Source organism: Homo sapiens, chromosome 1, assembly GCF_000001405.40.
Source record: "Homo sapiens chromosome 1, GRCh38.p14 Primary Assembly".
Taxonomy (NCBI): Eukaryota; Metazoa; Chordata; class Mammalia; order Primates; family Hominidae; genus Homo; species Homo sapiens.
This window is the reverse complement of record NC_000001.11, coordinates 160,036,888-160,061,918: the sequence shown is the minus strand read 5'-3', so window position 1 is coordinate 160,061,918 and position 25,031 is coordinate 160,036,888. Positions and strand designations below refer to the sequence as shown.

Sequence of the window (25,031 nt, the reverse complement as noted above, 5' to 3'; positions counted from 1 at the left end):
CAGGCATACACTCATCTATGCGGCCCCACACACGGCTCCCAACACACACCCAAACGGATGTGCCCAGACACAACACACTGACCCCAGCACACAGATCGCACGTCCACAACACCACCTCCTGGCATATGCACCTGCACACCCACCCTCCCTCCACCCCACCCCCCTTTCCCTTTTGCACCCCCTCCACGGCCGCAGGCATCTCAGCACCATGTCCCTCCCCCCCATGCCCTTGCTGCCCTCTGCTGCTCTGACACTGGTTATAACAAGTTTGCACTTGTTGTGACCTTAAGAATGTGGCCCTGGGGCTAAGAATGTCCCGCTGCCCCAGACTGCACCTGCTTATACGTTAACCATGGACACAGCCTCTTGCTGCACTCTAAGCAATGCTCCCATTCCTGCCTCAACCATGGAAGCAGTTAGGTGGGCCAGGCCCCCCACCCCAGAGCTGAGTCAAGTACCCTGGACTGAGCTCTATGTGAATAACTAAAGCCCCACCTGGCCTCGCTGGCACAGGTCCAGTGTGTCCGTCTTTGCATTTGCCCAGGGCACATAGATATTTCCTAGCCCTTCCTGGCCCTGGGAGGTAGATGGAACAGTTATCATTTTCCCAGCAAGGCTCTGAGAGGTAAGATGATGGTGTCCAGGCAGCTGGTGGCAAGTCTGGGACTAGAATGGAGGTCTCTCACCGCTAGTTTTTTTGTGTTTTTCCCCCAACTATTTGTCTCTTGGTTTCACTCAGATGACCCCACCCCCAACCCTATCTACAATTCCAACAGAGCTGTCTTTTAGCCACCTTTTTTTGGGAAGGAGTGGGGGCATGGTGAGGGGAAGGGGTGGGGAGAAGAACGGGTCTAGGAGCCTTAAGTGGGCTTCTGGGTCTAGAAAGAACCTCCGAAGGTCACTTTGACCCTTGCACTACCCCTAGGCAGAGTGAGCCTACCTCCTTTCACTTCCCACCCTCCTACCGGCCCCACTCCTGCTACGAACTCTGGATCACTGGAAAGTAACCCCACAGCCTTCTTAGCTAGGGTTTGGAGTTGGGGATCTCTATCAATTATAAGTCCTTCATGCTGCCTAGTACTGGCCTTTCCAGTTATTATCCTACGTCTGCACGAGGATCTGTAGGCTGTATCTACGGCTCACCTGCTATTCTGGTCCAGAGCATCTTCTAGCAGTTGGGAGCAGATGCCCTAAAAAGGGAAGAGAGGAAGGCCCATTGGGATCCCAGAGACTTGAGGGCTGACTGCACAGTGGTGTGCTGGGGCCTGGGAGGGTGGATGGGGTCACAGTTGCAGAAACTCTGTTAGATAGAGAACTAAGCTGATATTGGTTTGCTCATCAGCAAATATTATTGAGTGCTAATCTCCATGATGTTTCCTCCCATCAAAATTGCATGGGAGAACCTCAGGGCCCTTCTACTCCTTCTCCTTTCCCCTCATCTAAAATGCTTCCCCTCTGGCTACTGGATTCTCCTTAAGCCGCCTCATCCATCTGTCTTCCTTCATGCAGGAACACACCTCCCCCAGCCCTTATACTCTGGTGTGATTCTTTTGCTCCAAATGTTCCCTACTGGAGAAAGAGAACTGCTCAATGTATGTAACTTCAGCTTTCCCTGCTGTGCTCGGGCAGTTAGTTACTATAGGAGACAGAGGACAGTGAGACACTCACCTCTGAATCTAGTTCTGTATCTAGTAAGTGTCCTCATGCCATCCCTACCCCATCCTCCTTCTTAAGGGAGGAATGTGGATAAGGAATAAGTAAAAAGTTGAGAGGGGGCAGAGAGATTGCCTCCCAGAGTCATGGTGAGCTCCCTAGACTCCTCTGAGTGAGGGTCAGAGGCTGCTCTTCATGCAGGGAACAGGAGCCCCAAGAAGGAAAGGGAGCTGAGAGGACACCTGTCAGGGAAACAGGCTCAATTTTCTGAATATGAATGACAGGTACAGAGTACCTCTGTGTCTCCAGCTCCATTAAGGGTACAAATAGGAAGAAATTGCTCAGATAGCAACAGGTAAATTTTGACTTAACTGGAAGAATTCCCTGGGCATAAGGGGAGGGACAGAAAGAGGTGGAGAACTCATTGCCTTGATGAGAAGGAAAAGTCCCCCTTTAGTCACCTACTGAACAAAGCTTGAGTGGCCTGGAAGATAGTTCCAATGACTCTCAGAGCCCCTGTGGGGTTTCCAGCGGCCTCAAAGGAATCCCTTGATCATTTCCACAGACCCCAGTAAGAGCATTGCTGAATGTCTCCTCCTCGTGGACCTCACTATTTGCTGCTTATTCTAACTCTTCTTGTTGGGCCAGCTTCTGCAGGGGTGAGGGAGACCCTGAGACCTACTAGGTGGGAGGCCCAGATTGAAGATAATGGGCTGTGGCTGTGGCTGTGGTTGGCTGGGGAAGAGTTTCTGTGGATAATGCTCCAAGGTTGGCTCCACAGAAACTGGCACTTTTGGACCCCAGGGTGAGGAAAAGGATCTTGTAGGAAGAGATAAGTTGAGATGAAGAAGAAGACCAGGGTTGTTGCTCTGATTCTGATGTAAAATAACATGAGCTACCAGCTAGCAGTGTGATCTTGGGAAAGTTACCCCCCTCTTCTAGGCCTTGGCTTCCTCTTTAGTAAAATGTGGGTATTAAACGTGATGACCATAGAGGACTTCCCAGCATGAATACTCTGTGACACAGTCCAGTAGCAAGTTGAGAAGCCCAGACTTTAAGCAGATTTAAGCAGGCCTGGGTTCAACTTGCAGTGCACCCCTTACGAGCAGTCCTCCTGGGCAAGTTAGTTAACCCATGTAAGTCTAGTTTCCACCCGTTCATCTGAGGGCAATGCTATTGCCCCCCTAGGGAGGCTAGGATGAAGCACGGCATGGAGCGTCCAGCACAATGCCTGGCGCACCGTAAAGCCTGAGGTAGGAAGTTCATGGTACTGTGGGAACACAGGGGGATAGCAGCCCATGTTGTGGGTGGGGGCATCCAGAAAGGCTTTCCAGAGAAAGTGACATCTAAGCTGAAGCCTGAAGGAGGAGTAGAAATTAAGCAAAGTGGGAAAGGAAGAGTGTTCCATGGAAGAGACCCCATTATTTGCTAAGAAAAGCTTGGTCTGTTCAAGAACCGAGAGGTTTTGTGTGGCTGGGGACATGATGCATGCGTGAAGTGGGTGGGTACAGATAGAGAACACTGATGCTAGGGAGGTCAGCAGAGACCAGGTCATAAAGGACTCTGTTCCACCAGTAATTCTAGGGACTTCAGAGATAGGGTCCCTCCACTTCCTCTCCTCTTCTTCCTACTTTTCATTCATCCTTTCTCCCAAGACTAATTTCTCTTGTCCTTGGTCACACGAGCACAAGGAAGCATTGGGCTCCCCTAGGACGACCTGGCCAGTGCAGGAAGAAGCTTTAAGTTCAGAGTTGTCTGCCTCTGGACAAGTTTTGGCTTAGGCCTGAAGTTTTCTGCCTCTGTCCTTTCTCACCACTAGAGAGAGATGTGCCTTCCACAGAAGACCCTGGATTTTATCACTGAGGCACTCCTACTAAGCACTCCCACAGTGGGCCTCAGTTTCCCCATCTGCCCCTCTCATTGTAGAGAGTAGGGAGAGTGTTGACAGGGTGGGGCTGAGCACAGCCTGCAGAGAAGAGCTAGGGAAACTGACTCAGTGCCCCCAAGTGTCCAAACGTTGAAACTTCAATGGGAAGCTCAGAGGAAGGACTTCCGAAGGATGAAGTGGGTGGCACATGGAAAAGGGGGCCTGAAGGAGGAAAAGTGATGTAGAACATCAATCCTACAGGCTCTTTAAAGTCAAGAAATGCCAGGCACTGAGAAGGACACAAAGATGAACAAAATACAGATTAAGAAGCAGTCCAGAAAAGGTTCTCTGTTTGGGAAGATGGGGATGGTCCTTCCTGGAAGGCACAGAGCTGATGAAACAGCCTCTACAGGAGTTGGCCCTGGGGGTGCTCTCACAATGGGGAGTAGCTCTTCTGCCTCCCCTACCCGCCACTACCTCTTGGGCCCTCCACCCCCTAGGTCCAAGCCTCCCCTCATTTCCAGCCAACACCACTTCAAGTTCAAAGACAGGAAAGTGTACAGAGAAGGGCCCTTCAGCTGGGATCTGGTCAGCCTCCCCCGCCCTTCTCTCAGGTGGAGAACCCTGTCTTGGCCCTGGGACTCCAAGGAATAGGTCTCATCATACCCTCCCTAGTTTCTCAAACTCTTCTGGTAGATCAGGTGACAACTCATTAGCCTTCAGCCCAAGAACATTATCTCCAGGGCCCTGGCCATCCTAGGCCTTGAGAAGGCTGCCAGCTGCCTGATACTCCTGAGGCTGGGGGCAGACAAGAGGGCGAGAGGCTGAGGGATAGTAATTAAGGAACTTGGCTCTACTCAGCAGTCTTCAGCACACACTTGCCCACCTCTTGGCAGGCTGAGAGGGTTTTGGAGGAATTATAGAGAGGTGGGATAAAGAATAGTGGGTTGGAAGTCCCCTTCAATTCTGGGGCTAGAGTAAATCTTACCCCACAACTCACCTGGAGAAAGGAGATCGAAGGGATGGTGTAACTTGAGCATCATCAAGGCCACTGGGGTGTGGAGAGGCAACGTGAGGGAAAAGCCCACAGGATTTGGAGACATGGGGTCTGGCTTTGCCATTAAATAAACGTCAGCAAGTGACTTTATGTCTCTGAACCTTAGTTTCTCTGATTCAGTAATATTTTTCATTCATCTGCAAAGTAGGATAATAACATCTTTATTTGCATAAGGGCCTTACAGATTTCATATACTTTAAATCTTGTAATCCTGACCACATAGTGGAAGGTTTTATTGCCTCCTTAGATGAGGAAGCTGAGCTCTAGAGAGATTAAGAGATTGACTGAAGTTCCCCTAGCTAGTAAGTGACACAGACAGGATGGCAAATAGCGGGAAAGGAGAATACATAGGGACCTTTGTGACTCAGACATGCCAGGATAAGAAATAGGTTTCATTTGTTGGGCTAACTCCATTTGATTGAAAATGACTCTCTGTATCACCATATTGAGGATGATTCTGAGGCTCAGTCAGATAAAAAGCACTGTGATGAATTAGTGTTATCTGCTAAGGGGTGGTGGGGTGATGAGTGATGGCTCACATGCTGTATAGTTGACATTCCTAGCCCAGAATCACCCAGAGATTCTAATTCCTCCCTCTTTACTAACCAATTAGGTTAAATTTAAAGGTAACAGCTTACAAAGGTGACTAAAATACAGTCTGTGCCTTCAAAGAGCTCACAATCTCTAGAGGAGAACAAAGGATGATGTGGCAAATGTCCCGGGAACATAGAGGGAGAGTAACTATTTCTACCTGGGAGGTGGGGAAGGCTCCACAGTGGAGAGAGCACTGGGGAAGGGCCTTGAAGGAGGAAGGGGATTTGAAAGGGAAGACAGCAGTCTGGAGGGGAGTCTTGGAGCAGGCAGAGGATGTTCTAGGTAGAGCGAGCTGCCCGAGCAAAGACAGGGAGACAGACAAGTGGAGCACAGGCTATGTTTCACGTGGCTAGAATATGGGCTGCACAGGGAAAATATTCCAGGGGAGGCTGTGAACAGTAAGGTGGAGTCAGACATTGAAGGATTTTGCCAAGAAGTTTGAATTTTATCACGAAAGCTGTGGGAACTTTTTGAAGATTTTAAAGCCAAGTGATGGGGTCAGAATGTGTGCACTGAGGCAGCCGAGGACCGAGATGAGCACAGTGAGCCTGGGTGCAAGAGAACCAGGAGACCATTGCAACACTTCAAGTGAATGAACTAGGGCAGCCTCCATGGACATGAAGAGGAGTCATGAAGGCAGAAATGATGGACCTAGTTACCAATCAGATGAGGGGGAAGAGAGAAAGCAGGGGTAATTCTAAGGCTTGGGCACCTAGTGGAGGGTAATTCTGTGAACAAGAAGGAAAACACAAAAGAGACTCTTCTGAGGAGACAGGACGCTGAGTCTGAACATGTTAAAATTGGAATGCTCCAGGTAGCGGGAGCCTGTAAGTACTTGGACACCCAGGGCAGAGGTGACGTGGAATCCACGGAACGGGGGAAACAGTTGAGGAAGATGGAGTACAGTGATCAAGGATGAGAGTCAAGAGTGGATGGATTCCTGAGAAACACCAACAGTTAAGGTGCAGAGGAGAGATTACAGCAAGAGAGATGATCCAAAGTAAACACAGAGGTAGAGAAAGAACCCCGAGAACATGGTGTCCGAGAGTAACAGTGAGACTGTGCACACATGTAGTGTTCACAACCCATGCAGTGTTCTCACACATATGATCACATGGAACTCTCCCGTCACCTCTGTATTATTATGCCCCTTTTGCAGATAAGGGAAATAGAAACTCATGCATTTAAGTGATTTGCCCCAAATCACAAAACCTAGAAATGGCAGAGCTACTTAATGGCTAATCAAGGTAGATAAAATCAGTGGATTCCCACCACACCTCAATAAAAGCCAAAAGAGAGTGTTAAGAACAGACCGGTCAGTCATCAGTCTCAAGTGTAGCAGAGACTGCTGGGGTCAAGGGCTGAGAAGACACCCTTGGATTTAATGATGGAAGGTCAGCTGTGACACTGGAGAGAGCTTCCTGCTTCCTGTTGCTTTAACTGCCCCCTGCCCCCCCTAGACTGGCTGTGTGGGGCAAATGGAGTAATTCTGAATTTATACAAGTGTTTTGTAGACTTCAAAACCCCATATTACAGAGGTGATTGTTACTGTTATTTTTACTGTTATTAGGTATTGTTAGATTGAACCCTTTGATATTGCCAATAGGGAACCCATGTATTAAATGGATGATTTCATAGAATTCAACCTAATAGTAAAAGGAGTGAGCTGGAGTCGGGGAAGGGGCTGTGAGGTTATGAGACAGGCAACTGCGCAGGCAAGGGTGGCCCCAGGGGACTGGGGAGCCCCACCCCCTGATGGTTGGGGAGGTCAGTCTTCCGCATGGGGTGGAGAGTGGTAAATCGCTGGTGAAGCTTGAAATTTGCAGGAGTTCCCTTTCACCTCCACCACTTCCACACTCCCCATCTGCAACCTGGTCAGCCCCCTCTGCAGAGACTAGGGGTGGGGGTACACTCTCGTGAGGGGCTCTGACTGAAAAAATACTTCTGGTACCTAAACTAGGTTGATCCCCTCAACCAGCAGTCTTTGGAGATAAGTTGGGGATGGATTCTTCCTATGGGGAATCTCGGGGCCTAGGCCAGGTGATGACTGATTGGAGATCCAGGCAGAGCTGACACAGGAAGGAGGGTCCTGAACAGACTTCTCGTTTATCACCTTGACTCTCCCTAACCTAGCTCGGATCCTCTTGAGATTTTCCCTAGTGTCCTTCGGAACCTTTTCAGCATCGCATGTCTTAGCGGTAACAACAGGAATAACAATAGCAACAAGAGTTATTTCTATAGATGCCATTGCTTCCAGCTGACTCTTAGCACTGATACTAATTCTTCTGGCTGTTCAGTTAAGATGAGGAGGGATGGGTTAACATCTCCCAGTAGATGTTCTTCTGAGGTGAGGACCCAGATGGGGCCAGGCTGGGAGGCTACTGGGATTGCTGGAGCTGGGGCTGAGGAGACAGTGGTATAGCCTCTGTCCTCAGTTGAACCCTGCCTAGTGCCAAGCTCCTCACAAAGGACCAGCTCCTGTTGAGCCTTGCTGGCCCAGACAATGATTAGCAGCAGATACCGGGATGGGGTGATGACTCAGGAGGGCGTGCAATAGGGGTAGTGTGAAAGGTTGAGAGGGCAGGTGCATCAAAGAGGCAGCACCCACTTGTCACAGGAACCAGGAAGTCCTCCTCCCTCTCCAGCCGGCGAAACAGGGGGTCCCCAAGATGCCATCCTGTGGGCAGGTCTCTACAGAACATTGTTTCTTTCTTGCAGGGGACAGAAGGCACCGCTTGGGGATTGAGGTGGAGGAAGGGGCAGTGGTCCTAGTCAGCTCACATTGACAGGCAGGGGTGGTGTCTGGCCAGAGAATATCTGATGTGGCCCCATCTTTTGTCCCTCCCTCTCTTGACTGGAAAACACACAGGCAGGTCAGAAGGGCCATGCAGAGGTTACAGACTCCCAGGAAATGCTTTGAAGGCTTTTATCCTTTCTTTTGATCAGACTATGAGAACTTTCCAAACGTTGACACAAGAGAAGAAAAGCCTATTCTTCCATGGGCCAGGGCCTCGATGTCAGGCTGGGGCTAGAGGATGGGAGGGAAAGGGGGAAGGAGACCAGGGAGTGGGAGACAGAGGCAACAGTGATTCAGCTGGAGAGTCAGGCCCCAGGACACACACACACACACACACACACACTGCCCTCTTTTTCCCCACCTCAGGATTTGTGTGCATCTGGCTCCATTTCTATTTGTTTATTTTCCTTGGGGCAAGACAGGAGGCGGATTAATGAATAAAGACATCAAGTTTGAAAAGAACCCCAAATCCAGCTCCATTCTTCTTCCAACCTTGAGGGCTTACATAACCATGCAGTGCTTTTCTTCCTGCCCTTCCTCTCTTACCCCTCTCCTTCATTTTCTCTTCCCCAACCCTCATTAAGAACACTTGGAAGCCCAGAAGTGCTTCTTTTTCATCCCAATGCAACTGATCTCCTTCTGGAGGACTCTAAGGTCGCTATTCAAGTTGGAACTGGTATCCAAAAACAGATAATATGGTTGGTGAGATGAGGCTGAGTAGCTGTTTGCTCTCTCCACCGAGGCCGGGGGGAGGAGTGGGACCAGACTGCTGTGGAGGCAACTTGGGCTAGACATAGAGATTTACAGCAGGAAGTGACCCTAATCATCCTCTAACGTAGCACCTCCCAGACTGACCTCGCAATGTGTCCTGAAAGGCAGAGGAGAGGGAATTTGTGCCCTAGAATCTACAGGGATGAGCTGTAAGCGGCCACACACTGGACATCCTTGAAATCTCTTTTTGTCTCAAGCCATTCAAAATGTTTATTCTACTTCATTGTACATTGTTGGCATAATATTAAAACAACATTTTCCCTCAAAATCTGAGCAAAATTGATAACTTCAGGAAATATACTAAATTTAGTCCTGTGGCTTTGAGTGCCTCCTGACATACTAGTGTATGCCCTAGTTTGAGAAGTGTGAAACTAATACCAACCCCTATTCCACAATGAAGGAAATACAGATCCGAGAGGCTGAGAGGCTTGACTGAGGTCACAGCTAGTCAGTGGCAGAGTTGAGATCGGCACCCAAGTCTCTTACTTCCCAGTCCAGTGCATGTTCCACCAAGCAGTGCTGTCTCTTAGTTCTGAGTGGCTTTTACACATCCTTGAGCCTAATTCTCTCACTCTATCTTCAGAATACTGGGCATGGACAGATACCTAGCTCAACTGTCTAAGATAAGTGTGGGTGTGGAGACCAGCCTAATCTCAGGTGCTGAGACATAGTGCTCAAAACCCCTCTACTGCATACAGGGCTCTCCCAACATGGAAGAGGAAGGAGAAGGATAGGACAGGAAGGGAAGGAAGAAAAGTACTGCAAGGATTATGTAAGCCCTCAAGGTTGGAAGAAGAACAGAGCTGGATCTGGGGTTCTTGAGCATGATGGACAGATAGTAGGACAGAGAGCAAGCTGAGTCCCTATTTCTATCCACCTATTCATTTGTCTTTACCAAACAGTGATTGGTTCAGAAAGACCTTCAAACCTAAGATAATTGGATTAGTTAATAGCTATAGTAGGCACTGTTCTTATTTTCCAGGAATCTGCCTCCCTTTCTGATCTCATTTCCAGATCCCTCAATCAAAAGGCTCTTTTCTACAGGGAAGAAGTAGGGAGAAGAATAGGAGGCTTTTGGGCTTAGAATATCTCTATTAATATGGACACATAGGCTGTGTGATACAGAAGAAGAATAGAAGGATAAAGTGTGGTAAAGAATTTGAAGGCGAGAGTTATGATTAGATGGATAGCATACTATTACCAGGATGAGATACAGGAAGCTGGAGAAACCATAAGGAAAAGAAGGGACAGCCAGAGAGATGTGTAGGCAATACAAAGGCAAAGAGGGAGGTGAGAAGGAGGAACGGGTCGGGGAGACATTTTAGTGACAGCCAGGATGAAAAGAGAGGACAAGCAGAGAAGCACCATTGATAGAGATGAGAAGACCGTTGGGAGGAGAGTCCACATGAAGGAAGTGGGGAGAATAAAGACAAATCATGCAAAACTAGGAGAAACAATGGGATCAAGCAGCCATGAAGGAAGGGCGTCGCCTCCAACCCTTGGATACATCCTGGGCATCACTGCTGGTGAATTTTGCATACCTGTCTGGCTCCTGCTAACCTCCACTATGCTTAAGGTGTCATCTCTGCTTGTTGAGTGTTGAGTTTGCTCAGTGAAGACAAATAAACTATAGTATTAATTTGAAGTAATGGTGGAAAGGACTTTGGAATCCAGCCAGGAAGAGGCATAAATTTCAGCTCTGCTACCAATAAATTGTGTCACCTGGGCTCTCTGAACCTCAATTTCCTCAGCAGTAATTATGAAGATAATAAGATTTGTTTTACAGAGTTAAAAAGATGAAATATGAAGTGCTGGTCTACAGTAGGCATTCAATACATGATAGTTCCCCTCCATCTCTCCTTCCATGTCCCTGAACCAAACATTTGCAAGAGGAAATACTCCACAGTCAAAAAACAGAAATCATCTAGTGGCTCTAAGAAAGAATGACCAGCAGGCTAGGCCAGACACCGTAGCTCATGCCTGTAATCCCAGCACTTTGGGAGGCTGAGGCAGGTGGATCATGATGTAAAGAAATCGAGACCATCCTGGCCAACATGGTGGCCAGCTGGCCAGCTGGTTATGGTGGCTCATGCCTGTAATTCCAGCTACTCGGGAGGCTGAGGCAGAAGAATCGCTTGAACCCGGGAGGTGGAGGTTGCAGTGAGCTGAGATTGCATCACTGCACTCCAGCCTGGAGACAGAGTGAGACTCCACAAAAAAAGAAAAGAAGAGAAAAGAAAAGACCAGACCAGCAGGCTGGAGCACCATGGAGGAAGCCAAGGCTCTGTACCTGACCCTTGCAGGAGCTGCAGGGCCTGACCCTGGCCCTGCAGCTGGCCATGAAGGAATCCACAGGGGCTGGCCACAAAGCAGGAGGGTGTTGAGGGGTCACAGCACATCACTGTTTTCCCAGTGTGTCCTATTAAGATCTTTCATGTGCTCCCAACGCTTCAACCAAAATGAATGGATCCTTATTTCCTTATTTCCTGGGTGGCCCTGGATTTCCTCATCTTTCCCAACCCTGTTCCCTTGCACTAGATGTCAGTTTTCCCTTCACAAGCTCTTCTTGTACTTCACTGATGCCTTTTCCATGGCACTTATCACTTCCTGCCTGTTTTACAGTTTTCTCCTTTATTAGATTGCAAGGTCTTCACGGAAAGAATCTACATCTGATCCATCTCCATAATTCCATTGTCTTGTTTAGAATTTGGCACCCAGTAGTTGCTGGAAAAAAAAATGTTTACTGAGGCTGGGCATGATGACTCATGCTTGTAATCTCTGCATTTAGGGAGGCTGAGGTGGGAGGATGGCTTGAGCCCAGGAGTTTGAGACAAGCCTGGGCAACATAGTGGGATCCCATCTCTACAAAAAAAAAAAAATTAGCTGGGTGTGGTGGTGTGCACCTGTAGTCCCAGGTACTCAGGAGGATGAGGTAGTAGAATCACTTGAGCCCAGGAGGTCGAGGCTGCAGTGAGCCATGATCACACCACTGCACTCCAGCCTGGGTGACAGAGTGAGACCCAGTTTCAATAACAATAACAAAGTGTTTATTGTATAAATGAACAAAAACACAGCTCATACTGAATGTGGTGGGCAACATTAATACAGATGAAAACATTTGGTTTGTTTGCATACCTATTAGTGTTGATAATTAGTTATCTCGGGTTTCCATGTGTACAAGGAAAAAAGAAAACATCATTAAAAAATCAAGAGAAGATACAGACAAGAAGGGGGAATGAGAAGGCCCCAGAGTGAGAAGTGCTGGACCAGAGTGAAGTTCCATCCATTCTACCTAGGACAAGAACTTCCACATCTCCCTGGCCCTATGATGATGGAGTCAGTTAGATTGGCCCCTATGGCTGGAGTGGGTTAGGAGTCCCCTCCTACTTTTAATTCAATCATAAAATACTTCTTGAGCACTTACTATGTGTCATACATTGTGCTAATCTTTAGGATAACATATATATATATATATATATATATATATATATATATATATATATAAATAAATAAAATGCTGGATCCTTCTTTCAATGACCTTATTTGTAGTAGAATACAAATGATACACCATGTACTAAGAGCGGTGCCATTACGGGTATAGTTGGATATAGATATACATATATGGAAACTCAGAAAAGAGAGGCATTACTTAAGGTTGTAGGAATCAGAGAAGGCTTCATGGAAGAGGGGTTATTTGAACTGGACTCTGAAAGATAAGACTTGGATAGGTAAAGACAAGGAGGAAGGGGAGCCCAGGAAGAGAGAAGTGCAGGATCATGGAAGGCAGAAAAGCATGGGAGTGCACAGCAGGGAGCAGGGAGTGGTTGGTTTGCTTGCAATATGCAGTGTGCCATAGCAGAAAAGTGGTCGGAGATAAGGCTAGAAAGCAGGTTCAGAAGCAGACTGCGGAAGGCCTTATATGCCAGCCTGGGTTTGGCCTGTCTTTGATAGATAATGGGGAGACATTAAAATGTTTTGAGCTAGAGAAAGAACTAAGACAATTATAGTAAAATGAAAAGTGGATGGATTTGGGAGACGGGACCTGGGCATGAATCTAATTCCACAGTTTACTGAGTCACACCATCTCTCTGAGCCTCAGTTTCCTCATTCGTAAAACAAGGATTATAATCTTAATATTTCATAGGAATGCCATGAGAATAAAATGTGAAAGTGCTTTCTAAAGTACTGGATAAATGTTCATTGATTCCTGATCAGAGGTGTATTTGAGGAAGAGAAACCCAGGAGCAATGTAGGATGGATTTGAGGAGAGAAAGAACAGAGACATGAGATGAGTAGGAGGCTGATGCAGTGATTCAGCCACAAGGCATTAGGACCTGAAAAAAGACAATGGAATGAAGGAGAGGAGGCACAAATAATAAATCCACAGCACATGGCTTTAGATAAATGTTGAGTTGAGGCAAGAAGAGAGTTTGAGATGATCCTGGCTTTGAGTGTGGGTAATGGGTAGGATGATGGTCCCTTTAACTATTTTAGGAACCAAAATAGAGCAGCAAGTAGGAGAAGAAAGGATTTTACAATTGGAAGTGAATGCATTTAGTATTCATATCCCAAAGCTCCTTTCAGTCAACTTGCTCTTGCAACAGAGAAAACAGACAAAGCACTTTCCCTGTGGGTGCAGCTTTTCCCCTCCCCCTGCACCTGCTGCCCCTGGGAGGGGGTTGAAGCATCTTCTCTAGTCACCTAATTTAGCATAATCAACTCCAATGCTCTGTAGCAATTTACAAAGCTCATTCTCTCCCCAGCCCCCTGCAAATGGAACAGTTGGCCCAGAAGGAGCAGGGACTGATATCTTGGGCTTTTATTTTCTTACCTTCTGAAAACAGGGTGTAGGCATCTGCAGCATTAGCAAAGCCTGTGTAAACCTGGGTCCCCTCGCACTCTGAAGTGGCTCCTCCTGAAGGTCTGTGTGAACTAGGTGTCTCCTGTGAGGCCTTGGCCCGTCCAGATCAGGCTTTCAGTCATTCCCTTACTCTTTCTTAACAAACTATACTAGGCACTGGGGAAACAGATGAAAGGCAGAGTCAGTGGTCTTAAATTAGGAGCACAAAGATGGTAAACAATGATAAACAAACCATCTCAAAGCACTATAATGCTTCAAAATAGGAATATGTACAAGAGGGCCAGGTGCAGTGGCTCACACCTGTAATCCCAGCACTTTGGGAGGCCCAGGTGGGCAGATCACTTAAGTCCGGGAGTTTGAGACCAGCCTGGGCAACAGGGTGAAACCCCGTCTCTACTAAAAGTACAAAAATTAGCTGGGCATGGTGGCACATGCCTATAGTGCCAGCTACTTAGGAGGATGAGGTGGGAGGACTGCTTGAGTCCAGGAGGCAGAGGTTGTAGCGAGCTGAGATTGCACCACTGCACTCCTGCACTTCAGCCTGGGTAACAGAGTGAGATCCCATCTGGCGGGGGGTGAGGTGGGGGAAAGAGAATATGTACAAGAGCAAGCATAGTAAAGTAAACCCATTCTGGGCAGGGATGGGAGGGACAGAGAAGATGAATTGTTTTTTTGAGAGTCAGGGAAGGCGTCAAAGGGAGTAACTAACAGTTGAGTCGAGTTCTGAAAGATAAGGAGATCATCAGGTAGGCACGGAGCAGGGCAGTGCAGAAGCAGGTCCAAAGGTAGAAAGGATTGGGTAGTGAGGCTCTGCGTTGGAGTTCAGGGGGCCTGTGAAAGATTGTCAAGGGTAAAGTCAGAAGTAGGCAGAGACCAAATCATGAATGGTGTGCTGAGAGGCTACAGAGAAAACAGATAAAGCACTTTCCCTGCTGGTGCAGCTTTTCTCTTTCCCCTGTACCTGCTGTCCCTGGGAGGAGGTTGAAGCACTCTTTCTAGTCAGAAGTGTATTTGAGGAAGAGAAACCCAGGAGCGAAGTAGCAAAAAGCAAAGGGGAGCCACAGATCAAGTTATTGAGAGTCACAAGAACAACAGTGTCCTTACTCAAGAAAGGCCCTGATAAATCCATGTATTATCCTGGAGAATAAATGACTCTCAAGTAGAACAAATGACTCTCAAGTAAAATAAATGAGTGCACAGGCAAAAAAAGACAGCTTCAGGAAGAACTTCCGGGGGTAGCAGTAAGTGGGAGTGGTACTTGCTGAGGGAACGTGCTGATCATCACTGTAGCTATGACTGGCTTTGTTTTAGGGAAAGGATCACTAGTTCAGTCTTAGAGGAGAAAGAAGGTGAATATCTCTGTTTCTGTCTCTTTCGCCACTCAGGCTGGTCTTCAGAATTCTGTCTCTGGTATTTGGCCGGCTGGGACTGTTTTGGGGAAATAGCACCCTCTAGAGGAAAGAGTATGTTTTATTTTGCGGGGGTGCCCCGGGGTGGTGGGGTGCGCAACAGATGATTTCCAGAGCTTTGGCTCGATTCCTTCCCCAGGGGCCTGGCCAGCTTTGGGGTGGAGTGTAGCTGATTGTTTATCCGCTTCTGACTCTGGCCACCGCAGAGAACAAAGCTGCCTGGCTGTGGGAGGTGGCACAACAGCTGGGAGCAGCAGATAACAGCTGGAGGTGGCAGATACAAAGGCTGGCAACCACAGGCACTACAGCTGGAGGTGGCAATCACAACAGCCAGAGGCAACAAAGAGGCTAGCAGTGGCCGAAATCTCCAGTACCCTTGAGTCTAGAGCCTTAACCCTGGGATGTGTGGTCTTACATACAGCGTACCATAGTGGCACCTGCTGAGAGCATGAGGTCCAAGAGAATGAACCTGGGGCACACAAAAGCAGTTGCTACAATTAAAAAGTTCTGGACCAGGAGCTGGGAGACCTGGATTCTGGTTCCAACTTTACCACTAATCTACTTGGGGCAAAGCTCTCTGAGCCTTAGCTTCTATGGTGTCTTTCTTACCTACCTCATGGTGTGAGGATCAAACTATATATTTTATAAATTTTAAAGTGAGAAGGAATTATAGACTAATATTTTGGGAATGATAAGCAAGGCTTTTCTTGGGCCCTAAGAGCTTCCATTCTCCAAGATATGTAGAATCTCCCCTCAACATAAACAAAGCTAGGACTTCAGTAAAGGATCCCTGAATGTCACCATAGAAAGTGCAGGGGTAGAAGTGGGGTGGAGAAGGCAGACATCCTCACCCACCATGGGTATAGACAGAATCTTCAAGACAGTCTTTCAATCTCCCATCCAAAGCTTTTATCTCCGCCATAGGATCTCTGCAAAGTGCTTGTCCAAAGTGCCTTCCTGATTGTTACAATGCTCTTTATAATATCAACTTGCAATCTTTATCCCTGCAGTATGAACTCCCTGATTGTTCCTCTTGGAGCTCAAAGGACAAGTCCAAGCCTTTGATCACGTGATAGTCCTTCAAACCAAATATTTGCACACATTCATTATATCTTTCTGATTGTCTCTTCTCCTGAATCAACTTCCCTATTTCCTTCAATCATTTCTCATGTGGTCTGGTTCTGAATCCTCTCATATCCTGAGTGTTCCTTGATGCTGGATACTGCAGGTGTGGGATGAACAGAGCAGAGTAGAATCAACTACTTTTTTGTTCTAGGGACTTCAGTTCAACTGAAGGAGCTTAAGATTAGTTTGCTTTTTTGGCAATCAAAACACATGAATAACTCATATTGGATTATTTTCTGCTAATATGTTTAATTTTTTTATATTGTACTGCTTTGCTAAATCACATCTTCTCAATCCAGAACTTGCTCAGGTAATTTTTGGACCCAAGTACATAATCCAGCACTTAACATTTTTGTTAGACTTGGCCTACTTATTTGACTCCTTTTGGATCCTAATTCTGCCCCAGCTCTTGCATTTGCTATCTGTCCCAGCTTTCTGTCAGGCACACAATTGATGGCCATAGCATTCTATAGTTTTGAATGAAGTTCATGTTAAGAAAATTGAATAGGGCAAGGCCAAAGATGAAGCTCTCTGGTGTATCAATAGAAAATGAATTCCAGGCTATCATGGTCCCCTCACCAGTACCACTGATTTTTAAAGTCACCGAATTAGATTAGCATTCTCTTCATTTTTCTTTATCTTATCCCCAGGTCATAATGAGAGATCTTGTCAAAAATCTCCTGAAGTTTAGGTACACGTTCTCTGTTGCACTTCTTCGATTTGTCAATTTAGTAGCCTTATCATAAAAGAAAATTAGGTTATTATTGTTTTTGAGACAGGGTCTCATTCTGTTGCCCAGGCTGCAGTGCAGTGGCATGATTATAGCTCTCTGCAGCCTCCAACTCCTGAGCTCAAGTGATCCTCCTGCCTCAGCCTCCAAGTAGCTGGGAGTACAGGTGTGTGCTACCATATCCAGCTAATTTTTAAAAATTTTTGCTGATATGGTGTCTTGCTGTTTCCCAGGATGGTTTTGAACTTCTGATCTCAAGTGATCCTCCTGCCTCAGCCTCCCAAAGTGCTGGGATACAGGTATGAGCCACCACACTCAGCCAAAATTAGGCCATTTTGATGTGACTTGTTCTTAGTAAATCCACACTGGGTCCTATTGATAACTTCCTTTCCCCCATCCTACCTAAGTACTCGTAATCTTAATATTCCATTCTAGAATCTTGCCTAGGATCAATATCTTACCTGTTTGTAGTTTGTGAAAGGTACTTCATTTTTCTTTTTGAAAATTAAAACTATGTTCATTCATCTCTAATTTTACAGCACTTCTTCTGTTCTCATTCCTCAAAATCTTATAGGAGTTTACATCTTTTTTTTCAAGAGTTTGAGGATCAAATGAGAAGGTATTCTAATGTGTGAATTCTAAAATGGTATATAGATACAGGCAGTATGGTTGTTATGTTATTATTACTACTACTGAGTACTAAATAGGGCTTTGTTTAGGCTTGAAATACAAATTCTTCAAACTTCAGAGTTGCAGAGCTTCCTTTTTGTTCCAAAGCAGCCAAGGATATAGGGGAGTGAATGACATCCAGGTCTGGTTGAACAGTCTTGCATGAACGGAAGTTCCAAATGGCCTGTGACACAGGGCTGGTAAATTGGGCATCCTTGTTGCCTCTGAACATTCTCAGGGTTCTCATCCATTGGTGATCTCCAATTCAGTGCCTACCTGGTTGGGCATATGGTCAGGCCCAAAAGATTTGAAGTTTTCCAGGGACAAGGCCATGGGGAAAATAGAGATGGGGGGTGGGGTGGGCAGTGTGAAGAATCATAAAATGCAATGGTTCAGACTTTTTCGAATGGAGAATGTAATGAGCCTCTCCAAGAAGGGCTAAACTCCCCAGAGATCACCCTGCTCCACAGAAGATCTGGCTATCAGATCCAGGGTCCAAGGGCTCAAGTGATTAAAATTCTTTCTGTGCTGGAAAAGTACAAGTTACTGCTTGGGCAAGGGTGCCAGGCACCTTGTATTAAGTGAATTGTCTCCTATTTCAGTGGCTTGCCCCACTTTCTGCTATCAGAACAAATAGCAATACTGAATTTGAGCCTGTGCAGACATAGCTGCTAGTTAATATACACCCCTAGCTCTTCTACTTCATTCTGTCAAAACAATTTTGCCACCCACAATCTGGCATTTCTGCCAGTCCTTCAGAAAATGTCCCAGTGCTTCCAGGAAGTTTTAACATGTTGTTTCTCCTCCACCACTGCTTATTTCCTTTTGTTCAAGTCCCATCTGTACTCTTCCTAACACTGCCCTAGACTCTAACTCAGACCAAATTTCCCCAGATGATGCAAACAGATGATGATGATGATGATAAAAAATGAAATGGTCTGGGTGCTTAGGGAGCATCTTGAAGGGTAAAAGAATGGGTAGTTTCTGCTATTCTCTGAACCAGATGAGTATCTTAGTATCACCAGTGGGTATTGGCTTGGGGGTAGAGCAGAGAATGAAGAAATTAAGGTTGTGTGTGTGTGTGTGTGTGTGTGTGTGTGTGTGTGTGTGTGTTTTAAGGGGGATTGGCCTGGAAGGATTTCAACAGGATAGCTTGTCTTGCTTCATAGCCATTCATAAGGGTGGGGATGGATCCTATTTCAAAATTAGAGCTCTTCGGAGGACTGGTTTTGTGGTGAAGGCTCTCATTAGTCTCACCCTCACCTTCAAGGAATGTGAAGCTACTACTCTTTCTTTTCTGCCTCTCTTCCGCTAAGAATTACAAATATCAGACTGTGTTGCAATTATTTGCTTACTAAATAGGCATCTTTCTCACTAGGCTGTGAGTTCTTGGAGAGCAGAATGATGTCATTTTATTTTATTTTATTTTATTTACTTTTTTTTTTTTTTGAGACGGAGTCTCGCTGTGTCACCCAGGCTGGAGTGCAGTGGCGCGATGTCGGCTCACTGCAACCTCTGTCTCCCGGGTTCAAGCGATTCTCCTGCCTCAGCCTCCTGAGTAGCTGGGACTACAGGCGCATGCCACCATGCCCAGCTAATTTTTGTATTTTTAGTAGAGACAGGGTTTTGCCTTGTTGGCCAGGCTGGTCTTGAACTCCTGACCTCAGGCGATCCACCCGCCTCGGCCCCTGCACAGTGCCTGGCACATAGCAAGTGCTCAATAAATATTTGGTAAGACAAGAACACATAAGCGACATTCAAATGAATGTTAATTCCTCCCTCCCATGGGGTGAGGGTTAGGAGTCAGCTGGATTTCTACGATAACCTCCATTATGCTGTCTTGCTCCCTCCAGATGACGTCAGTTGCCAAGGTGTATTACAGTCAGACCACTCAGACAGAAAGCCGGCCCCTAATGGGCCCAGGGATACGACGGCGGAGAGTCCTGACAAAAGATGGTCGCAGCAACGTGAGAATGGAGCACATTGCCGACAAGCGCTTCCTCTACCTCAAGGACCTGTGGACAACCTTCATTGACATGCAGTGGCGCTACAAGCTTCTGCTCTTCTCTGCGACCTTTGCAGGCACATGGTTCCTCTTTGGCGTGGTGTGGTATCTGGTAGCTGTGGCACATGGGGACCTGCTGGAGCTGGACCCCCCGGCCAACCACACCCCCTGTGTGGTACAGGTGCACACACTCACTGGAGCCTTCCTCTTCTCCCTTGAATCCCAAACCACCATTGGCTATGGCTTCCGCTACATCAGTGAGGAATGTCCACTGGCCATTGTGCTTCTTATTGCCCAGCTGGTGCTCACCACCATCCTGGAAATCTTCATCACAGGTACCTTCCTGGCGAAGATTGCCCGGCCCAAGAAGCGGGCTGAGACCATTCGTTTCAGCCAGCATGCAGTTGTGGCCTCCCACAATGGCAAGCCCTGCCTCATGATCCGAGTTGCCAATATGCGCAAAAGCCTCCTCATTGGCTGCCAGGTGACAGGAAAACTGCTTCAGACCCACCAAACCAAGGAAGGGGAGAACATCCGGCTCAACCAGGTCAATGTGACTTTCCAAGTAGACACAGCCTCTGACAGCCCCTTCCTTATTCTACCCCTTACCTTCTATCATGTGGTAGATGAGACCAGTCCCTTGAAAGATCTCCCTCTTCGCAGTGGTGAGGGTGACTTTGAGCTGGTGCTGATCCTAAGTGGGACAGTGGAGTCCACCAGTGCCACCTGTCAGGTGCGCACTTCCTACCTGCCAGAGGAGATCCTTTGGGGCTACGAGTTCACACCTGCCATCTCACTGTCAGCCAGTGGTAAATACATAGCTGACTTTAGCCTTTTTGACCAAGTTGTGAAAGTGGCCTCTCCTAGTGGCCTCCGTGACAGCACTGTACGCTACGGAGACCCTGAAAAGCTCAAGTTGGAGGAGTCATTAAGGGAGCAAGCTGAGAAGGAGGGCAGTGCCCTTAGTGTGCGCATCAGCAATGTCTGATGACCTGTTCCCACTCCCCCATTCCTCTGGTCTCTTTTCCTCTCTTCCAATGCCCTGGTAAGGAATACTACCCGGGTTTACTGGAGATCCCCCGAAGCACCCATCCTCCACTCCCTCTTCTTTAACCCAGTGGCCTGTTGGTAGCTTAGGCCAACTGGAGTCCAGGTTCGCCTCCCACTGTCCCCTTTCCACTTCCCCAGCTTCTGCCCCAATACACATACCTCCCTTAAGCCAGGATGGGGGAAAGAGTGGGATTAGGCTGAAGTGGCTTAGAAGGCCTCAGCCATGCTTGGATACTCACATTAGGAGGACCATGTGGTTGGAAGGATAGACTGCCCCCTACCTCCCACCACCACCATGAAGTTTGGTGACTTGAGGCTGGAGCTCCCTCTGTTACCTTTCCATCTAGCAAGTTCCCAAAGGCAAGACTCTCTCTGATGGTCACTTTGTGGTCTGTGCTTTCAGAAATACAGGAATCTGATATCAACATATCCTAGGGTTTCTACCAATCTCTGTTGAAAGAAGCCAGGGTTTGCCACTGTGAAGCTTGATTTCTGCTGGTGACTTCTGACCATAAGCTAGAACCATGGTCGCCACTGTTTTCCCTCTGTAGTTTCTCAAGTGAACACTCTCAGGATACCCAGTTCCCTCATAGCCTCTGTTCTCAGAGAATTGGAGTTGGCCCAAGAAACATAAACATATAACCACCCATATCTATCCTGGATTCTGAACTCTTCAATTTGGAGTGACTAACACAAGTTGTTATCTAAACCTTTAAACCTATCTTCCAGGCAGCCCAGAGAAGATCTGTTTCCCTGTGTCCTGTGAATGGAAGGACCCAAGCCAATATGTTCCTTTGAAAAGAGTCCAGTACCCAGGCCCCATGGAAAGGTCTGAAAATAATATTCCAGATTACACTGTACCTGGCTTCTCTTCTTCCTTTCCTGCTCAGCCTAGATCCTTCTTCCTTAACCCCAACTCTTTGGGAGAAGGGAGGGAAAATGCAAGGGCCTTCCTCTCTTAACACGGATGCTCAAGTAAAACTAGATTCACAGGGCACAGATTCCCCAGAAAGTTAACACAATCCCACCATGAGGGATGGGTAAATTCTCAGATTTCCAAACTGCTGTACAGAGCCTCTGAGAATTGGTGATGCTTTGTTAAGGTTTGGGCAGGAGCAGAACTCTGTGGCTGGCAGCCACTATTCTCAGTTACACCTCCCAGTGCCCTTCTGAAAAGTGCCAGCTATTTCATTAGGCAATGCTGGAAGGAAATGAAATTATACCTTCTGATCAAATAACCATGGCTTCCCTCAGCCATTCCTGAGACTTGGTATAAAATGAAGAAATCAGTGTCATCTCTACTCTCCTCTGCCATGAGGCCATTTTCAGACAAGTTAAAAAGTAGACTTTAAGAGATCAAACTCAGCCTATTCCTTGTTCCCTGGTGGGGTCTGTGGTAAGGGTCAGGGAAGGGCATATAGGCACCAGAGCTTTATCCAAAGCCCCAAATCCCTAGAGTGCTTTCTGGTCTCACTTTGGTACCAAGGAAGCCTCACATAGTGGTACTGCATAGTCCCACTATAAGTCAAGTTGCAGTTTAAGGTGGTCTCAGCCAATTGTTACAAGCTACAGAATATATACATGCATCTATGTACAGAGCCTTGCAGAGAAACACAAAATTTTGAGGCTAGACCCATGATCACCACCAACTATAATTGCACAAGGTCTTGTTATATTGATCTCTCCTCGAACTCAACTAACTATATCTTGAAAACAAAGACCCTTCGGTGTCCATCTACAGTAAACCCCACCATTACCTTCTAGTTGGCATAAAAACAAGAACCACAAAAACTTGAAAAATCTGAAACAGAGAACAGAAGGCCAAGAGCCAGCTTCTGCGTTCTCAACTTTATTCAACATTAGACTTACCTTATTTCTTTCAGTGTGTAGGGACAAGATGTACTGCTGTGTGTGTGTGTGTGTGTGTGTGTGTGTGTGTGTGTGTGTGTGTGTGTGTCTATACCTTCCTATCCATTGCCAAGTTAACCTCCATCTGGTTTATTTGGCCATGCTATGCTTTCTTCCCATTCCCCTGCTGTCTATTCTAAGCCCCCAGACTCAAGCCTCTAGACTCTTGGATGAAACAGTGAGAAGAAAACATTTTCTGACTTACCCTTTTGGAATCTCCTCCATTATTACCCAGGCTTTGCTTTAAGTTGCACTTTAAATCACACTGTCCTATTAATGCGATCTGGCATCTTCTCCCACAAGCCCCCTACAGGGAACAACTACCCCCTACCTTAACTCTAAATGGTTCTTTAGACTATAGTCTGTCTCCTCTGACCTGAAATCCTCTTTTAGGCAATAGGCCGAGCTTTAGAAGCAGCCAGGTCTGGTGAGAAATGGGCCCCCATACCAACTGTGGACTTGGAATATCAGCAGAGTAGTAGGCACAGTTGTAAAAAGGGGAGATTTCGGTAGGCACAGGTGTAAAAAGGGGAGATTTCAGAAGACGGGCGAAACAACTGATGGGGGAAGATACCTGGGGTGAGAAGATGAGAAAGAAATGATGCTGAGGGACCTAGTGAAATCAATGAAACTCTTGAGTCTTGCTTAGGCTCGCAAACAAGAAGTGGGGAGGCTTGGGAAATTAGGATATGACATATATGAAAGGTTTATCTAAGAAGAAAGAAACAGAGATAATATATATATAGAAAGATGTATATAGATGTATATATGCCCAAATATATTGAATGTACAGAAAGGAAATATTCAGAGACTTTAGCATTGGGGGCAGATATCTTGGCCTGGTTATGGGGTAGGACACCCAGATTTTCAGACTTACAATCAGTGGTCCTGGTTTCAACATGGAAGTGAGATAGCTGATGAAGGATTTCAAGTCTGGAAATGGGAAAGGGAGGGGTAGAAGTTCCTTTTCAGAAATAAAGAGGCATTCATGAAGGCTTTTGTTGAATCCTATGCTACTGATAGGACCAGGAAGAGAGGAACTCGGAGGACAATAGGGAGGGGAAGTCTTGGAAAATCTACCACTTACACTGTGTGTCCCCATCCCCAGCAGCGTCCTGCCACTGTAGCGCCTTTTTAAAATAAATAAAATAAAATAAAGCACCATTTTGTTTCCCTTTCATGAAGTACACTGTATTTCCGTCTTCCACAGGGGTGGGAGCTGCTATTGCTCTAGCCCCTGAAATCAAACTCAGGAGCTGAACACTTTGGTGTATGGGAGGCACTAATGGGAAGCCTCAACCCTGGAATCCAAATGCCAGGACTAATAGCTGTTAGGCTGAAGATCTCCCAAGGTCAAGGCCCAGCCTTTTGTGTGGCTGCAAGCAGCCCAAAGAGAAAGCCATGGATTCCAGAAGAGTTCCAATCCTGGCATTTGGGCATGGAGGGTGATGCTTTGGTTTTGATGCTTCTGAATGAAAATGAGGAGTGGGGTTACCAGCTGCTCTAGGGGATGGTGAAGTTCCATGAGAGGCTTCCGAAATCTCTGCAATGTGCTTCACCCCATTATTCCCCCAACCCCTGTCAGCCTAATAAAATCATCCAGTAGTTTCCCTATAAGGTCTGAGCAGAGAAAGAAAGCCAGTTATACTATTGCTACAAGTCCAGGACACTGTGCCCTCTCCATGGCTGCTGCCCTGGTCCTTTATTCTTGCTAGCTAACCTAGTTCACTTGTACAGTAACACACTACCTTTGCTGGAAAGTTAGCATGGGTCTCCAGGCTCAGTAATGGCCAACTCTACTGATGCAGAAGTATTTAGGGATGTTTTTTCCATTCATTGCACTAAAGACTAAACCAGGTCAAATTTATCTAGGAAAAAAAAGGTGTGTAAGATTTGTTTTGTTTTTGTCTGTTAAAAATAAGCTACTAAATAAAATGGATGACTCTTTGGTTGTCACTCTAGCTTCTTTTAAAAAGCTAAACCAAGACTGTCAAGGTCTGAACTCATAGACCTACCTACCCATGAGTGTGGAGGGTTGAATTCGGCTGTGCTGGAAGAACTTCTGACTGCATGGCCAAGCCCCTTCTGTTTTTCTCTCATGCTTTAGCGAGTTCCTTTCACATTCGGTTTTCATGGGACAATACTGAAAAAAACTTTAAGACCCAGAAGTATGAAAATTGGCTCAGCTTAATCCATAAAAGTCAAGTTGCTTTGGATCCTGGGCATTGTCCCTTTTGGCCAGTGATCACAAGCCCAATTTCCCTTCCATGCTACCATGTAGTCTTGTTGCCAGTTTTCCTTATATATCCTCAAGGTTCTTTGTAAGCTTATTCCTTTAATCACCAGGCATTTCTTCCCTCAAATCTCAAATAAATGGATTTCTCTTCTACCCTTGTCTGTCAGTAGCCTGAGAAAGGTCTGGTTGTTAATATCCAGGCCTGAATTTTCTCTGATGAGAGGCAAAAGACCCTATGATCGCTGACTCTTGTTCCCCAGAAGTGGAAGGAGAGAGAGAGGAGGAGGGAGAAAATTGGG

At 46.7% G+C, this 25,031-nt stretch overlaps 1 protein-coding gene across 1 annotated transcript in view, besides 1 other annotated feature; it reads left to right on the top strand.

Annotated features, from left to right (window-relative positions):
* The window catches only part of KCNJ10 (potassium inwardly rectifying channel subfamily J member 10), a 32,694-nt gene extending 8,242 nt beyond the window's left edge, over positions 1–24,452 (top strand). The window contains exon 2 of the mRNA NM_002241.5: positions 19,387–24,452. Coding sequence (NP_002232.2) covers positions 19,387–20,526 — 1,140 coding nt within the window. The 3' untranslated portion in view covers positions 20,527–24,452. The remainder of the gene's footprint in view (positions 1–19,386) is intronic.
* Positions 15,966–16,260: an enhancer, noted in NCBI's record as "tiled region #2622; HepG2 Activating DNase matched - State 5:Enh". NCBI's record gives its function as "activates a minimal TATA promoter and a strong SV40 promoter by Sharpr-MPRA in HepG2 cells {active_cell/tissue: HepG2}" and the evidence as "EXISTENCE:reporter gene assay evidence [ECO:0000049][PMID:27701403]".